This window comes from Homo sapiens, chromosome 4, assembly GCF_000001405.40.
Source record: "Homo sapiens chromosome 4, GRCh38.p14 Primary Assembly".
Lineage (NCBI taxonomy): Eukaryota > Metazoa > Chordata > Mammalia > Primates > Hominidae > Homo > Homo sapiens.
Genome location: NC_000004.12, coordinates 9906167 through 9923229, shown reverse-complemented (window position 1 = coordinate 9923229; position 17063 = coordinate 9906167). Strand labels below are relative to the sequence as shown.

The 17063-nt window shown below is 46.0% G+C and overlaps 1 protein-coding gene across 27 annotated transcripts in view; it reads left to right on the top strand.

Moving 5' to 3' along the window:
• SLC2A9 (solute carrier family 2 member 9) overlaps nt 1-17063 on the top strand; it is a 269246-nt gene that overhangs the window by 117041 nt on the left and 135142 nt on the right. For all 27 annotated transcript variants that reach the window (XM_011513867.4, XM_011513858.2, XM_047415973.1 and 24 more), the window contains 2 exons: nt 2658-2845; nt 14885-14995. In XM_011513867.4, the coding sequence (XP_011512169.1) occupies nt 2658-2845; nt 14885-14995 (299 nt within the window). The remainder of the gene's footprint in view (nt 1-2657; nt 2846-14884; nt 14996-17063) is intronic.

Here is a 17063-nt window from a genome sequence, read left to right as displayed (position 1 = left end):
CCCTAGTGCCAGGAATAGGAGACAACTTTCCATCCTTCTGCCTCCTGCCCAGAGTGCCCCTGCCTTCTCTGGCAGCCTGAAATGCCCCCTCCTTGGTGCCCCCTCAGGACTCCAGCTCAGTCTTCTATGTTTGCTATTTTCAAAAGAATATCTGTGAGCCCTCAGCCAGAAAGGGTGCATGTGGAATAGGGAGGACTCCAAGCCCAAATCCCAACAGGCCGTTGTTAGGAGTGATTGAAAATAGTGAGGGAGTCATGGAGGGGTGGGGGGCGGACTTACCTGGCAGTTAGGGAAATAGAAGGCTGGTGCGCTTGGGCCAGGGTCCTGCAGGGCACTGAAGAGGCAGGGGCTGAAGGGTGTGGGAGGCGCCGGCAGGTAACTCCTTGGTGCAGGTTTGGGTTCTCCTGGAAGCAGGTCTGAGAACGAGTTAGGAGAGCAGAAGTTTCAATGGAGAATAACACATGGAAAGTGACAAGGATGGGAGAAGAACTGGGCAGGAGGAGCTATCAGGCCACAGTGCCCCTGGCAAAGTCTTGGCAAGTCCAGGGGAGAGCTCTGGAGAAACTCAGGAGAAACTCATGCATTGCAGGAGGTCCCCCACTGGACAGAAATGGCTGGGCCCTTGGACTGCCTCCTTGCTCATTCATAGGCTGGGGGTCACTCTGAAACAGTATCACCCACTTTATGAACATATATACAATAGGAAGGTTAAATTGAAGCTTTAAGAAAAGATCAGAATTTTTTTTTTAAATTTTAAAGTTCCAGGATACATGTGCAGGATGTGCAGGTTTGTTACATAGGTCAACATGCGCCATAGTGGTTTGCTGCACCTATCAACCCATCACCTAGGTATTAAGCCCTGCATGCATTAGCTATTTTTTCTAATGCTCTCCCTCCCCCCACCCCACCCCCCAATGGGCTCTGGTGTGTGTTGTTCCCCTCCCTGTGACCATGTGGTCTCATTGTTCAGCTGCCACTTATAAGTGAGAACATGTGGTGTTCGGTTTTCTGTTCCGGCGTTAGTTTGCTGAGCACTGTTCACAGTAGCAATGACATGGAATCAACCCAAATGCCCATCAATGATAGACTGGATAAAGAAAATGTGGTACATATACACCATGGAATACTATGAATCCATAAAAAGGAATGACATCATATCCTTTGCAGGGACATGGATGGAGCTGGAAGATAGGAAATTTTAAGAGAAAGAAGAGAGATTTTTTGTTTCAGGAAATTCTGTTAAGGGCTAAACATTGCATTTGTCTGAGAGCTTCCTGGCAGCCATGGTGAAAAGAGAAAAAAAAAACATAGGTTATGAAGTTATCCTTATTTTATAATGGAAAATATGTATGTCATGAAGGAAAGAAATAGTTTTCTACCCCAGAAGTCTAGAGTTATTTTATCACATAGATGTTGCATTTTGAACTTTGAGGAAACAGTAGAAATATTATACTTAATGCATGAAACAGAAACATTGCTCATTCAGCTGCTTTTCTCATTTACCCTTAATAAATGCTGGGGAGAGCATTAAATTATAGTTCATAAAAAAAGATATTCTGAAGCAGTTTTTAGTACCCTGCTGGAAATAACACTCCAAAGCCTTCGGAAGGGTTCTTGCTTCTTGGAGAATCTGGAGCAAGTTTAATGGCATTTGCTTAAGAAGAGCATTTTCACACGCCCTGAGGGGCGGAGCCATGTTTTAGGGATGCTGCCTGCTGTGTCTGGAATGGACTGTCCGCAGGAGCCAGCACAATAGCCACCTTTCCCTGTGGGAGGAAGAAAGATCAGAGCACTGAGCATTGAAATCTGTGTCCAAAAGTGCACCCCATGATCTGATTATTGTGCTTTCCGGGATCTAATCAGTCAGCCCGCCTTCAAGCACACATTCATAGAGGTTTGCACAATTAAGGTCTTCATTTAAAAAAAAAATGATGGGTTCTCTGAGGCTGGAAGTTTGCAGTGTTCAACATGGAAAAGGCATAAATCATGAGGGTGGGTTTGAGTCCTGGTAAGATTCACTCTTTGGGACTATTTCCACTCAAGTTTTCTTGTATTTCAGAGGATCACATGGAAGGGGCCTTGCAGTCGTTAAGCTCAATCCTTCTTTTCACAATAGCATGGACTGCAGGGCATCCTGGCCAAGTGACATCCTACTGGTCTCCGGACACCTGCAATGAGGATGAACTCATGAGCCAGGCAAACAGGAGGTGCTTAGTGAATATTCAGCAAACGAACTCCAGTGTGGGAAGCTCCGAGCCATGGTTGAATGTATATGATATCATGCAATTATTACAACAGCCATTGGAGGCAGGAATGATAACAAAAGATGAACAGGGACACAACTGCCCAATGTTATAGACGGGTTTGAACTCTGGGTGTGCTCTGCCTTGCGTTGCGGACAGTCAAGAGACCCACGTTCTCAGCTTTTCTCCCAGCCAGCTGGGTGATGTTGAGCAAATCATGGCATCTCTCTGGGCCTCTGTTTTCCCATTTTTAAACAAGGGCTTTGGACTCCATAGTTTCAAAGGCCCCTGCCAAGTTCCGCCCCCAGCTAAGGTGTGTGGCTAGGAGGTGGGACCCGTCCCTGCAGGGCCCAGCATTAGACATGATGGACACTCTAATCCCTGCTGAAAGTCCATGTGTGCCTCTGTTTGCAGCCTTCCAAACGTTCTTGGGTAAAGCAGACGTTTCCCAAGAGGTAGAGGAGGTCCTGGCTGAGAGCCGCGTGCAGAGGAGCATCCGCCTGGTGTCCGTGCTGGAGCTGCTGAGAGCTCCCTACGTCCGCTGGCAGGTGGTCACCGTGATTGTCACCATGGCCTGCTACCAGCTCTGTGGCCTCAATGCAGTGAGTCCTGGGGCCCGGTGGGCATCCTTGCATGACTGGAGGGATCAGAGGGTGGGGAGGTTCAGGGCTTGGGCCCCAGACGCCCAGGTTCAAATCTCAGTTCTGTCATTGCCACAAACTCTATGCTGTTAGGTAACCATGTAACTTGACTGATCCTCAGTTTCCTCATCTGTAAAATGGGATCACATAATATGGAAAGACACAATCCATGCAAAGTGTTCAGTTCAGCTGCTAGCCACAGAGATATCCTATAATAAATGCTATCACTAATTATTCCTAGACATGTCTAAAAGTTATATTTCTTTAAAAAATTGATATTAGGAAGTCAGAAGTGAGAGACATTCAGATGATTTTCATAAAAGTACTCTTGACTGGGCTGTCTTCAACTCACAACTTTGGCTTGAAAAAAACCTCAAGGCTTTAAGTAAGAAATGTTCTGGGGCTTGAGCTGCTGCAGGCAGGGAAGTCTGAGGAGGTCTCTCCATGAGGTTCCCCAGATGCTTGGATGTTCACAGCAGTCTCCTCTCCCTTGAGGGCACTCAAAGGTGGAATTCCCAGTTGGAGACTTAGGGAGGCAGAGTCTGGATCTTTACTGTTACTGTTGCTTCTGACAAATGGAGTGGGTTGCCTCTAGGGGTGGTGATCTCCCCATCTATGGAAGTGTGCAAATAGGCTGGCCAACCACTTGGCAGGGGAGCGTAGAGGAGATTCTTGCATAAAGCATCCAAACTGCCTCTGAGGTCACTCATGTCACTTGGGAGGAGACTGACTGAACCCAGAGAGAGGGAGAAGGGGCACCCGCCAGCACCCTTCCAAAGGGCCCCAGTAAGACAGCTTGCATTTATACTAAATAAGCGTGAGACCAGCACCCCCCAAGGCGGGCAGGGAGGGTGTTTGGGGGTGTCTAGGGAAGGTGATGTGAAGGGGAGTCATTCCTGTCCAGAGAAGGAAAAACAGCAGCATAGAAATCTACAACCACAGTGTTGTTCCACCTCCTTTCAACAACTGTTGGTTCTATTTTCGGAAACACTGGGATGAAATGAGATCACCTTGCTTCTTGCTTTTACCTTTCTCCTTGGTCTGGTTAAAGTCAGCAGATTGAGCAGGCGCCTGGGTCAGTGGCTGTACCTACATTAACTGAGTGATCCTGGGAGAGTCCTGTTGTCTCTTCCTGTTGACGAGACCGAGGTTTTGCCAGACAGTCTGAAGGAGGCGCTGCTTGTTCTCAGAGAGTAGAGAGGGGAAGTGAATTGTTTCTTCAAGCTAACACCTGAAGCCTTAAAGACCGAATATGGAACCTGTAGTGAATGAGGCATTTACACTGAGAACCATCAGTTCTAAACAGAATTCAATTCTCCACAGGGACATCATTTTTCCATTTGCATCCCCCGTATAACTTCATAAATTCCTCTATGGTGTACCTGCAAGCCGCACTGACTAAGCACCTGTTGAAAAAAAATCTCAGCTGCTCCCAAAGCCAGCAGTCATGAGGCCCCATCCTCAGAGTGTTCTGCCCTCCCATGTTGATGATCTTCAATCTTTAAGTCGGGATAATATTTCCAGCTGAGCGTGCTTTACCTGACCTGGAGCAGAGCTCTGGACCAAGAGTCAGAGGCCTGGCTTCCCATCTCAGTGGGACACAAACCTGCAGTGAGAAACCCAGGCCAGCTGCTCCCCGTCACTTGGCCTCCACCTACTGGGCTGCAAACCTCATCAAGTGCACATGCATGTAGCACTCAGAGTGGGCCAGGAGCTGTCCCCATGGCTGCCCTGTGAGTTAGGCCGCACTGTTAGGCCTAAAGACATAAAGAAACTTTTCCAAGGTCAAACAGTGAGGAATAGTAAAAGGATTTGAGCCCTAGCTATCTGGCCCCAAGGTCCCCCTCAGAGCACCCCCATGCATGTCACTCAGGCTGTGTCCCCAGGCCATCCCTAGGCAGCCATGGGGACAAGTCTTCTTCCGTGTTACATACAGAGAGACCCATGCTGTTTAGTGGCAAATGCCAGCATCACAGCCACACTGTGGTCCAGCTCTCCCCTGTACCTGCTGCCTTGTCATCCAAATTCACGGGACAAAGAGAGCTACCAGCACTAGCAGGTGTGACTTTTTCTGTGCAGGCACCACCCCTGGGATCCAAAACTTCAGCTGCCTTGGAAGACTTGCTTTGTCTTCTTCATTATCCCAGACATTATTTGGGGGACATGACATGTCACTGGAGACATCCGTAAATACTGCCAGGCATCTCTGTGTTTGTCATTTTATTCAAGCCCCAAACAGCCCCACAGGGTAAGTGGTATTGTCCCCATTTTCTAGATGAAGGACGTGTGACTCACAGAGGGTCAGGCATTGCCCAAGGTCCCAGGGGTGGTGCCTGCACAGACAAAGTCACACCTGCTGGTGTTGGGTGCACTCCCTGGACAGCCCACCCAGACACTTTGTACCAAACTTGCATTTCTCAGCCTCATATCTGTGTACATTTTGAGCTGGAAAATTCATTGTCATGGGGGCTGTGCTGTGTGCCTAGGCTATTCAGCAGCCTCCCTGGCCTCTTCCCATTAGGTACCAGTAGCACCATCTGCCCCACCAGCTGTGACAACCAAAAATGGCTCCAGACACTGCCAAACATCCCATGGGAGCAAAATTGCCCCTGGCTGAGAACCTCTGTATCAAGCAAACATCACAGATGGCTCAGTATATTTATGCTAAGGAGCTGATGAATGTTTTTCACGTACTTTAGAAGTCACTCAAAATTTTGCTGGGTGCAGTGTCTTGTGCCTGTAATCCCAGCACTTTGGGAGGCTGAGGCAGGCGGATCACCTGAGGTCAGGAGTTTGAGACCATCCTGGCCAACATGGTGAAACCCCATCTCTACTAAATATAAAAATTAGCCAGGCATGGTGGCAGGCACCTGTAGTCCCAGCTACTCTGGAGGCTGAGGCAGGAGAATCACTGGAACCTGGGAGGCGGAGGCTACAGTGAGCCAAGATCGCACCACTACACCCCAGCCTGGGACACAGAGCAAGACTCCATCACAAAAAAAAAAAAAAAAAAAAAAAAAGGAAAAAAGAAATTATTCAAAAGTTGGGATAACCAACATTTATTTATTTATTTCTAAATTCCTTTTTGGTGTTGGATTTTTTTTTCCCTCTGCCTTACACAATAGGCTTTCAAATTCCATTCTCTAAAATTAGACCTGTCGCTTAAAGTGACTTATTTTAGGCAGCTGCCTTCCTTTCGAGCAGTTTGTCCTCAGCATGAAAACCAGGCTTCAGTGTGAGTGTCAGTCTGTTGCCAGTGTGAAAGAGGCTCCTGGCTTTAGGCCCATCCCCGTCCCCATTGCTGGGGTGGCCACAGCAGTTCCTGCCCCTCCACTGTGCTCCCCTCACCTGGAGAGAGCTATTAGTGGGTCTCCATCCTGGGAGATGGAGGCTGCATCTTATCAACCCTGTGCCTCCAGCACCAGAGCAGCCCATGCCACATGGTGGGCACCTGAGTGTCTGGGGGAGAAAAGGAGGTGAGGGCAGGAGATAGGGAGTTCTTGGGCTGAAAATTGGATCAATACCAATTGTCAAGCCCAGTGTGGGGAAGCCTTCATTTTCTTGAACCTTCCCTTATCTTCCAGAATGCCCAGGGTCATGGTGGTTCTCTTATCTACTTGGGATGACCCTTCCTTCCTTGGGATTCCTTCTTTCTTAAACACAGAAGCCAATCATAGTCACTTCCCTGGGCTTCAGTCTCCCATCCTGAAAAATGGGGATGATAATACTCAGTTTGCACAACTGCTGTGAGGAATCTGTGGAATTATGTAAAATATCTCACAGGTGGCAGCTGCTCAGCTTGCATGAATCTCCTCCCAACCTTGCTGTCATCAGCACGACTGTTTCTAGCATTGTTTTCTCCTCTCTCAATGCCATGCAGTTTCAAAATCTGCTGCTTCCTGATATGCAGTCTTGGTTGGGAAACAAGACACCCAAGTGTGTTAGAAATAGATGTAAAAGAAGAGCAAAGAGGATCAGAGTGCCAGCTGTGAATGAGCCATATGGGCCTGGTGACATTGGTTCTGGGTGCTCACCGGCGGTGGACTGCTGCCTGGGTCTTTGCACTTGGTGGGATACCCATGCATTACAGGGTTCCTGGTGTGTTCCTCTAACCACTTAGTTGGGAAATCGTTGTGTACTCCTCCCTTCCTTGCTAGACTAAGAGGTCTTCTAGGGTAGACGAGGACCTGTGTTGTCTGCTGTCACCTTAGTGCCTAAGAGAGTCCCAGATTTCTTACGCTTTCTCTAAACAGTTGAGTAGAAGGGAGGGAAGGGAGGTGACTGGGAGGAACAAGGGGAAGGAGACATGAAAACTTTAGATGTGTTTACAGAAAACTGTGGTACTTTCCCCCTCTTTTGGCCTGGAACCACATGAAGGTCCATCTGATTTGTTGAACCATCATTAGGAGTTCTGGAGCCCAAATCAAGTTTTGTACAAAGTCTCAAATTATAATTTCAGAAGCAGTTATTAATAACTTTGGTTTTGAAAAGATTCTCCTGAAATCACTTCCTAGATCAAGTTGGAAGAATCTAAAATGCTCTGTAATCATAAAAGTGGAGACCATCTCACTGCAGCAGTTTGCTATGTCCTGATGAACAGGGAGAAAGCTGAGAAGAGACCCTCCATATGGCCACCCTGAACTGTGGTCAAGAGTGCCAGGCTTGGGGTCATCTGCCTGCATGCAGCTTGCAACATTGAACTTTTGAGTTATGGGATCTTGGACAAGTTGTCATGACTCCTCCGTGCCTCAGTTTCCCCAGCTGTAGAGTGGTGGTGAAGATAGATGAAAGGATGCATTTAAAGTTCAGCAGCTGGGCATGGTGGCTCACACCTGTAATCCCAGCACTTTGGGAGCCTGGGGTGGGCAGATCACTTGAGGTCGGGAGTTCAAGATCAGCCTGACCAACATGGAGAAACAAGTCTCTACTAAAAATAGAAAATTAGCTGGACGTGGTGGCACATGCCTGTAATCCCAGATACTCAGGAGGCTGAGGCAGGAGAATCACTTGAACCCAGGAGGCAGAGGTTGCAATGAGCTGAGATCGCACCATTGCACTCCAGCCTGGGCAACAAGAGCGAAACTCCGTCTCAAATAAATAAGTTCAGCATGGGGTCATTCACATAGGTGGTGCTCCATAATCTTAGCTATTATTTTGTTGAAGGAGCCCCACACTGAGACCACCAGGGAGGCTATGGTTCCAGCCCACATCCTCTGACTTCCCAGCTGTGTAGTCCTGGGTGAGACACTTCACCCCTCTGAGCCTCAATCACTCATGTCAGAGTTCAAAGAAGACCAGGCCAGAAAGGTGGTATCATTCATTGGGCTAATGGCTAGGTCAGTGTGAGGTTAGATTTTTATCCGTAAGATGAGAAGCAAGACTGGGTGATCCAACACTCTTAGAAAAGCTTTTAAAAGCAAGCATTTTCTGGCCACTCTTAAAATTTGAGTCCTTACTTTGTATGCTTCTGGATTTTTATAAAGAAAGACAGTGGAGGTCAGAGAAGGAAGCAGCCTTTTACTGAGCATGGACCGGCTGTTGGGCATCTAGATATGCTGTCCAGTTTCATGCTCACATGTGCTCTAAGGATATAAAGCAAGGCCGGGGTGGTTGAAATCTGCATTCACGTTCTCACCACCATAGCAATTGCTGGGGTCAAATCCCTTCTGTCCAGCCCACAGACTCCCGTCCCTCCCAAGAATAGGAGCTCACAGAGAGGGGACGTTAGATGGTCAATTGCCCTGCCTTGGAGATTCAACCACCAGGGACCAGAGCTTCAAGCCCAGCTAACCCTTCAAGGCCAGTGAGTGACCCACAGGTCCTGTTTTGTGAAGCGTAAGGTGCGCAGCTGTAGTCGGGGTGCAACTGGTCCCAGTGAGAGATGTGGGAGAGTCAGCTCATTCCTCTGCCTCCACTGCCAAGCTGAAGCAAAGTCTGATGAGAATGGGAGCTGACATTTGCTTGGGGCTGTGGATGAAGCAGCTCTGCTGAGAGAGAGTGGGCTTCCATACATTGCCGTGAAGCACACAGCCTGCCCTTGGTGGAGAGGGTCTTGCTTTGCTTGGCAGCTGCCGGTAGTGATTCATCCCTGGTGCTCCCATTTCCTCTCACCTCTCGGGTAATTCCACTTGCCCTGCTCCATAGGACTTAGCACCCTCCCCTAGCATCTCTGGAAGGAAAACAGATTCCTTCTCACCCAGAGGTAGCAGAGGACAGTAGAAATGTTTGGGATGATCAGGGCTCGATCTCAGCTCTGCCACTCATAGCTGGGTCACCCTTACCTGGCTGAGCCTCAGTTTCACATCTGTTAAATGGAGCAGTGATAGCTCCCTCACTGGGCTGTGCTGGGAATGCAGTTACGTCATGTAGGGGATAGGTTTGGGGATTTACAATAGATAAGCCCCCTTCTTCTCTGAAATTCAGAAAAGGTTAGAGAGGGGGAGACAGAGAGAGGCACAAGAACCAGATGGGGATGAAAATGTTAGCTCTATTTTGAGTGGAGCTGGATTAGACAGCATGGCTTCATAAGTGGCAGTTAGTTCAGCACCTCTAGCTTTAAGATGCTAGACCCAGCCACAGGCAGAAGGAGCAACCCCAGACCCCTCTACAGGGCAAGCCCCTCCTTGGGTGGAGGCAGCAGACACATCTCCAGCTTCCTGCAGGAGGCAGATACAGAAAGAGCCCAGGGGATGCAAGAGGGCACTCCCTACCTCCCTGTCCCTTGGGTTGAGAGGGAGGTATGTTCCCTAGTGGATGCTCCCCAAATGGAAACAGGAAATAGAAGGGAAAGGAGGTCCCTGGAAACAGTAGGTGAGGCATCGGCACAGTTCCTGGAACACAGTGTTTAATAAATGGGCAAGGTCTTCTCTGTCTTCTGTACTTCAAGATAGATCCTATACATCACCATTTGTCTGTGGCGGCCACCTCTGTGTTTACAACTCTCTCTGTTTCTCTCTTTATCTCTCTCTATCTGTTTCTCTCTCTCTCTGTCTCTCTCTCTCTCTCTCTCTCTCTCACACACACACACACACACACACACACAAACACACAGGAAATGCATAAAATATATTAATTATATCTTTATCCAGTATATATTAGTTTTCTATTGCTTCTGTAGCAAATTACTGCAATAGCTTAGCTATTATTTTGTTGAAGGAGCCCCACCCACATGGTGGCTTAAAACCACACCAATTTATTATCTTACAATTCTGGAGGCCAGAAGTCCTAAAATCAAGGTGTTGGCAAGGCCACATTCCTTCTGGAGACTCCAGAGGGATCATCCACTTCCTTGACATTCCCAACTTCTAGATGGCACCTGCATCTCTCGGCTTGTGGCCCCTTTCTGCATCTGCAAGTCAGCAGCATGGCATTTTCAAATATTTCTTCCTCTCTGACCTCTGCTTCCATCCTTACGTCTTCTCTCTGAATCTGATCCTCCTGACTCCCTCTTTAAGGACCCTGGTGATTACATTTACAGCTCACCCAGATAATCCAGGATAACTTCCCCATGTCAAGATTCTGAACTTAACATATCTGCAAAGTCCCTTTGGCCATGTAAAGTAAGATGTTCTGGGGTTCCCAGGATTAGCATGTGAACATTTTGAGAGCGGGGGGCTGTTGTTCTGCTCACCACATCCAGAAAGCATAAATTAAACCCATACTCTTTGTCAGTATCACCTTGTTCTAGGCAAAAGTAAATGGGATGTTTACTCTTATGGACCCTTGACTGATCCTTAGACATGCTGCTTTCTTAGACATGTTGGGCATCCTTAGGCATGCCCAACTGTGGAGGGGGCAAAAATGATTATGTATGTTACACTTTGTCTCTAAAACACTATGACGTGAGTTAAGAATGAGAGCTTCAGGGCATTAAGGGCAGGGACTTGAGAAGACCCAAATTCTTTCCTGCTGCCCTTACCCCCACACCTGCCAGCTGCACAGTTCTTCAAAGCCCCATCCCACAAGAAGGAGGCTGAAAAGAGACCCAGAGGTGCATTCCTAGCATGGCATATGTGCCACTGTCAGATGCTCTTCTTTTCTTTTTTTTTTATTATTATTATACTTTAAGTTTTAGGGTACATGTGCACAACGTGCAGGTTTGTTACATATGTATACATGTGCCATGTTGGTGTGCTGCACCCATTAACTTGTCATTTAACATTAGGTATATCTCCTAATGCTCTCCCTCCCCGCTCCCCCCACCCCAGAACAGTCACTGGTGTGTGATATTCCCCTTCCTGTGTCCATGTGTTCTTATTGTTCAATTCCCACCTATGAGTGAGAATATGCGGTGTTTGGTTTTTTGTCCTTGCGATAGTTTGCTGAGAATGATGGTTTCCAGCTTCATCCATGTCCCTACAAAGGACATGAACTCATTATTTTTTATGGCTGCATAGTATTCCATGGTGTATATGTGCCACATTTTCTTCATCCAGTCTATCATTGTTGGACATTTGGGTTGGTTCCAGATGCTCTTCTTAACCAAGAAGCAATCACATCTCCATGGAGAGACAGAACCTTCTAGAATGATACCTACAATTTGTTATATGCCAATTATAACAGGTGCTGTCCTGGATGATTTCTTTTATCATCATTAAAATTTTTACAAGAACCCTGAAAGACGAAGTATTATTACCTTTCTTTGGAGAACAGAGATTCCGAGATGCAAAATCGCTTGCCTGCGGTCACGCAGGTCATGAGAGACAGTGCTGGGGCTAGAATCCCCACTCTATGCCTCCAGAACTGCTGCTCCTGCCACGCTGCACGGGGAGGCTAGGGGCAACCTGCGAGAACAGAGTTGTGTGGTGAACAAGGTCAACACAAAGCACACACCGTGGGGGCTGGCGGGGCTCCGGGGCAGGATGCACTCTTAAGTTTCCTGAGTGCTTTCTTATTTTACAGTGAACTCAAACTGTCCAATCAAATAAGCTTCAGTGTGAGCAGAGGTAAAGCTGAAGGCAGTCACCTTCCCACTCTATCAGCTGATGTAGGGGGAGGGCAGTGGCTTCGTGTCACAAACAGATTAAGACTGGCAGTGTGTGTGATGTACAGGTCTGCCCCGGGGCAGACAGGGCCAGCCCGGCAGGACCCCTGTAGCCCCTGGGCAGCGGGAGAGGATCTGTGGACTGATTTCTGCCTTTTGGTGCATGAATGAATATAAGACTAAATATGGCTTTTATTGCTTTATTATTATTATTATTATACTTTAAGTTCTGGGATACCTGTGGAGAATGTGCAGGTTTGTTACATAGGTATACACGTGCCATGATGGTTTGCTGCACCCATCAACCTGTCATCTGCATTGGATATTTCTCCTAATGCCATCCCTCCTCTAGCCCCCCCACACCCCAACAGGCCCTGGTGTATGATGTTCCCCTCTCTGTTTCCATGTATTCTCATTGTTCAACTTCCACTTATGAGTGAGAACATGTGGTGTTTGGTTTTCTGTTCTTATGTTAGTTTGCTGAGAATGATGGTTTCCAGCTTCATCAATTTCCCTGCAAAAGTTATAACTGTCCCTCACTGAACTTAGAATTTTATGTACAATGACTCTCTTCACTAACCTACTAAGGGACATCTATAGCAGTGTCTCTATGGGGAGAATTGAAACCAGGGAAGACGGGGTTGTGAGGGGTGAGAGGAGCCAGAAGGAGGTGCTGGCCACATCATAAGAGGATTCACATTAAGTGGGACCTAGGGCTGGGAGCCTCAGGACCATGAGCTGGTCAGGCCATGGGGATCAGAACCACGGCTGTGAATAACACAAATGTCAGACACCTTCACATGGGTGACAGCCTGGCAGCCTGAGGGCATTAAGAGGGTCCCTAGAGAACGTTGGCCATTGAAAATCAGTGAATTTGGCTGATGATTAAGAAAGGCTGTTACACTTCTGGAATCCAACCCTGACGGTGCACTGGGGATCATAGTTACCTTCTAAAGGGGAAGCAATTGTATAAACATATTCAATGGACATAGAGTTTTCAGGATAATGTTATAATGTCAGCTTCTGTCACAGCCCTGAGAACAATAGGAATTAGTGGATTTATTAGGCACTACCTCTGTACACCATGGATGTGACAGCAAAGGTTCAGGCTAACGATGGAGTCTAACGTTCACTCAAGTGAGAAACAGGTGCAGAACATGAAGGTTCTTGTTTTACACGAATATTAAAACCTGTTTTTGCCAATAGATGGATGTATCCATGCCTGCAAGCTCGAAGAAATGGGTGTCGTAGTTTTCACTGGCATCTCTTGGTATGCCCATAACTTTATGGAGGTTTACTTTCTTCACAAAATTTAACCATCTGTAGATATAAGTAGGTCCTATATCTTCCCCCCAATGCATGAATAATTTTTGCTAAAAACATCTGGCAATAAAACAGATCTATAGAAACAAGAGCTTCATCCAGAAACAAAGAGCAAAATGCGAGAGTGTGGCCAGCTAACGTTGGACCTGACAGGTTATGAGCAATGTGCTCTAACACTTCTGCTGAATAAGTATCAAACTGTTCATAAATGTTCATAAGGTCCTTTAATGCAGGGGGTGTCCCCATCAGAATTCATCAGTTAGGACAATGTGGTTTTCTATCATTCAGCAAACTCTTGGTTTTAAAGAAATGGCTGGGATGGGGAGAACCCAGACATCATTTGTGTCCAGGCTAAAATCCTCAAAGTGAATACTGAAGAGTGACAATTCTCACCCAGTTCCTGACACCTCATGGGACAGGCAAAATAAGCATGGTCATGTTCATTTGACTGGGGAGGAGTAGGAATCTCCTCATGGCAGGGTGAATTGCCTGAGGTCACACAGCTAGTTCAAGATGGAGCCAGGTCTCCAAACTCCTAATCAGTTCTTGTCTGATGCCATGGGCATCAATTAGGATTTAGGTCTAACCTCATGTGGCAGGTACCCCAACAGAGACCTCAACAAGATGGAAGGTTTTCAGTCTCACATGAAATAAGTTGCGAGGGCTGGTATAGCAACTCCAAGACCACACATCCTGGTTTTCCCAGGACACACTCAATGTAAGTGTGTCATCCTAGCATAATTATCAACACTCTCAAAAGTCCTCATGTTTGGATAATAAATTACAGAACCAGTGTAGTCAGTAAGGGCACAGGCTAACTCTTTCTAACTTCCTGGTCCAGCATCTAAACAAGTGGCTTTTATCCCAAGGCAGGGGCTCTATGTATAGTTAAACAGGTTGTGCATTACCCAACTCTGGGGAACATCTTTCACCTTGTATGCATTGTGGATTTACTATGGCAATTTTTCAGTGGATGACAGTAAAGCGTTTTGTGTAGTGGGGACCTTTTCTGGTTCTCATAAAGTTACGATGGAGGTTAATGGCAGTGCTGTTCTGAAGTCACCTAGTAATCCAAAAAAGGCTGCTGAGGCTCCAGCCATCACCTCCACCATCCTGACACAGAAAGAAGGAAGGACAAACAAAAATGGAAGCAGACCTCCTTGATGAAAAGTTCCTTTTAAAAAAAGGAAACTTCCTGGAAGCCCCACCAACATTACTGTTTCTATCTCGCTGCCACACTTGGCTGCAAGAAAACTGGGAAGTGTAGTCTTTTAGCTGGACATTCCCAGTAATGCAGGAGAACATCACACACCAGGGCCTGTTGTGGGGTGGGGGTAGTGGGGAGGGATAGCATTAGGAGATATACCTAATGTAAATGACGAGTTAATGGGTGCAGCACACCAACATGGCACATGTATACATATGTAACTAACCTGCACATTGTGCACATGTACCCTAGAACTTAAAGTATAATAAAATATATATATAAATAAAAAATAAAATAATAAAATAAGGAAAAAAAGTAATGAAGAAAGGGAGAAGGTGGGATGAAAATGAAAAATGAGCATCCACGCCTCTCCACCTTGGGACTCTGAGTTTAATCCAGAGACCACCTGATACCCAAATTTGATTTAGAAAATAGATTAAGTCCTTCCACTGACCATTCTCTCTGCTCATTCTTTCCTGAATTACAGATTTGGTTCTATACCAACAGCATCTTTGGAAAAGCTGGGATCCCTCCGGCAAAGATCCCATACGTCACCTTGAGTACAGGGGGCATCGAGACTTTGGCTGCCGTCTTCTCTGTAAGTCAACTGAGGGTTACTCCTGAGAATGCCACAGGGGGTTACACAGCACAGTGGGAATGTTCATAAGGTCCTTTAAGGCACAGGCTTTCCCCATCAGAATTCATCAATTAGGACAATGTGGTTTCCTATCATTCAGCAAACTCTTGGTTTTAAAGAAATAGCTGGGATGGGGAGAACCCAGACATCATTTGTGTCTGGGCTATTGACCCAAAACCTCAAAGTGGGTACTGAAGAGCGACAATTCTCACCCAGTTCCTGACACCTCCGGGGCAGGCAACACTGCAATGTGGGAACCTAAGGCAACAAACAGGCATCTCTTTAGAGGAGCATGTCCTTTATCATGCCAAAGGGGGCTGGATTTTAGGAGGTCATCATGCAGCTCTTCACTGACATTTTACCCATCTAGAGAATATTCTTCACTGACATTTTACCCATCTAGAGAATATTTCCTTCCTAGATTTTGCTTCCCTGTCATCTTCCTTTTAATAAATAACTCCATCCTTTGAATTCTCACCTAGTCACAAATGATGAAATATGAATGCCCTGTGAAACAGGGCCATATTGTCCCCAGGAGTTCGGATCAGAGAATTGGCTTGAATCTCCAATCTCTTACCATGACATTTAAAATGTTTCAAAACCATTAGCAGTCATCTCATTACCCCAGACATGTGGGAGTTTGCAAGGCAAAGGAGAAAGGACATTCAGTTGACCAGTATAATAGAGAGGAAGACCTTAATAATAAGCCAATATGTTCAAAAGAAGGCATAGAGCTCCTCACTGTTTCTCAACCTCCAATATGCAAAACAAACATCTGGTGGAGGGGAAAGTTGGGTGGCTTCAGAACCTAGTAGAAATTTCCAGATCTTGGAATCAGATCAAACTGGATTTGAATCCTGGCTCCGGCACTTCTTGGCTGTGTAGCACTGAGCAGTGCACTCAACATCTCTGAGCTTCAGTTGTCCTCTTTATGAAATGCTTGTGTCTCTTCTTTTTTGTAGCTATGTCTGTGCCTCACATTTTGGGCACACAGCACACAGTTAGGCTCCCTTCCAAATGGAAAGAGAGGGCTAAAATTAGAGAGTTATATTCTCTGACCTTGATGGAGTAGTTCATTTATTTTCACTCTTGCTCACTGATTTGCACTGACAAGATTGATGCCCATGCAAACAGGCAGAGGCTTGCAATTGTCTTTCTGACTTCTTGTTGACAGAACATTTCATTTTGTACCTTGCACTTAATGGGTCATTCTAACAAGATGCTTTTAAAAAATAGATACCATAAAAAATGTAGAGGAATGATGTTTTGTCTCTTTCCCTTTCCACTTTGTGGTCTTTTTATTAGAAGAAAACATTTCAACGTTTCACATTCTGGAAGTTTCACAAGATTCATTCTTGTTATTCTCAAGTTATAGACTGCACCCAGTTTTGTTTATTTATTTTTACTTTGAGCAATGGAAAAACACAGTCTGAGATGAAACTTATGGGGGAAGTACGGGAGATGTTTTTTGTTTTTTGTAAAGTATTTTATTGGTGTTGTGAAGAAATCAATACCAGCTCATTAGGGCAAATTTGTAAAATTCGGAAAAATAGAGAGGAACAAAGAAGAAATTACCTACAATCATACTACCCAAGGAAGTTTGGCAAATTCTTCCCTTGTCTTTCTATGCATAGATGTATATTTCTTACATAGTAGCACAGTAATCCTATTCTAAATACGAGCTCTGATCTGCTTTTGTTCACATAATCTTATGTCAGAATGACTCTCCATTTTCTTATTTATTATTTTTTTGTTGAAGTGTATCATATATGCAGAAAATCATGTAGATCATCACCTTCCCTGAATTAACACTAGTGCTGAACGATTTATCCTTCTCCAGTAATTTTCTGTATGATAATTTCCTTAACCATTGTCTGCGGGTGAGGTTGTTGAATGTCTCTGCTCGGAACCTGATGGCAGTGCCATGCTTTCTGGGTTCCAGTCCCAGCTCTGTGTCTTTTTATTAGCCGCGTGACCCCCAAGTAAGTTATTCAGCATCTCTGTGACTCAGTTTCCCCACTTCTAAAAG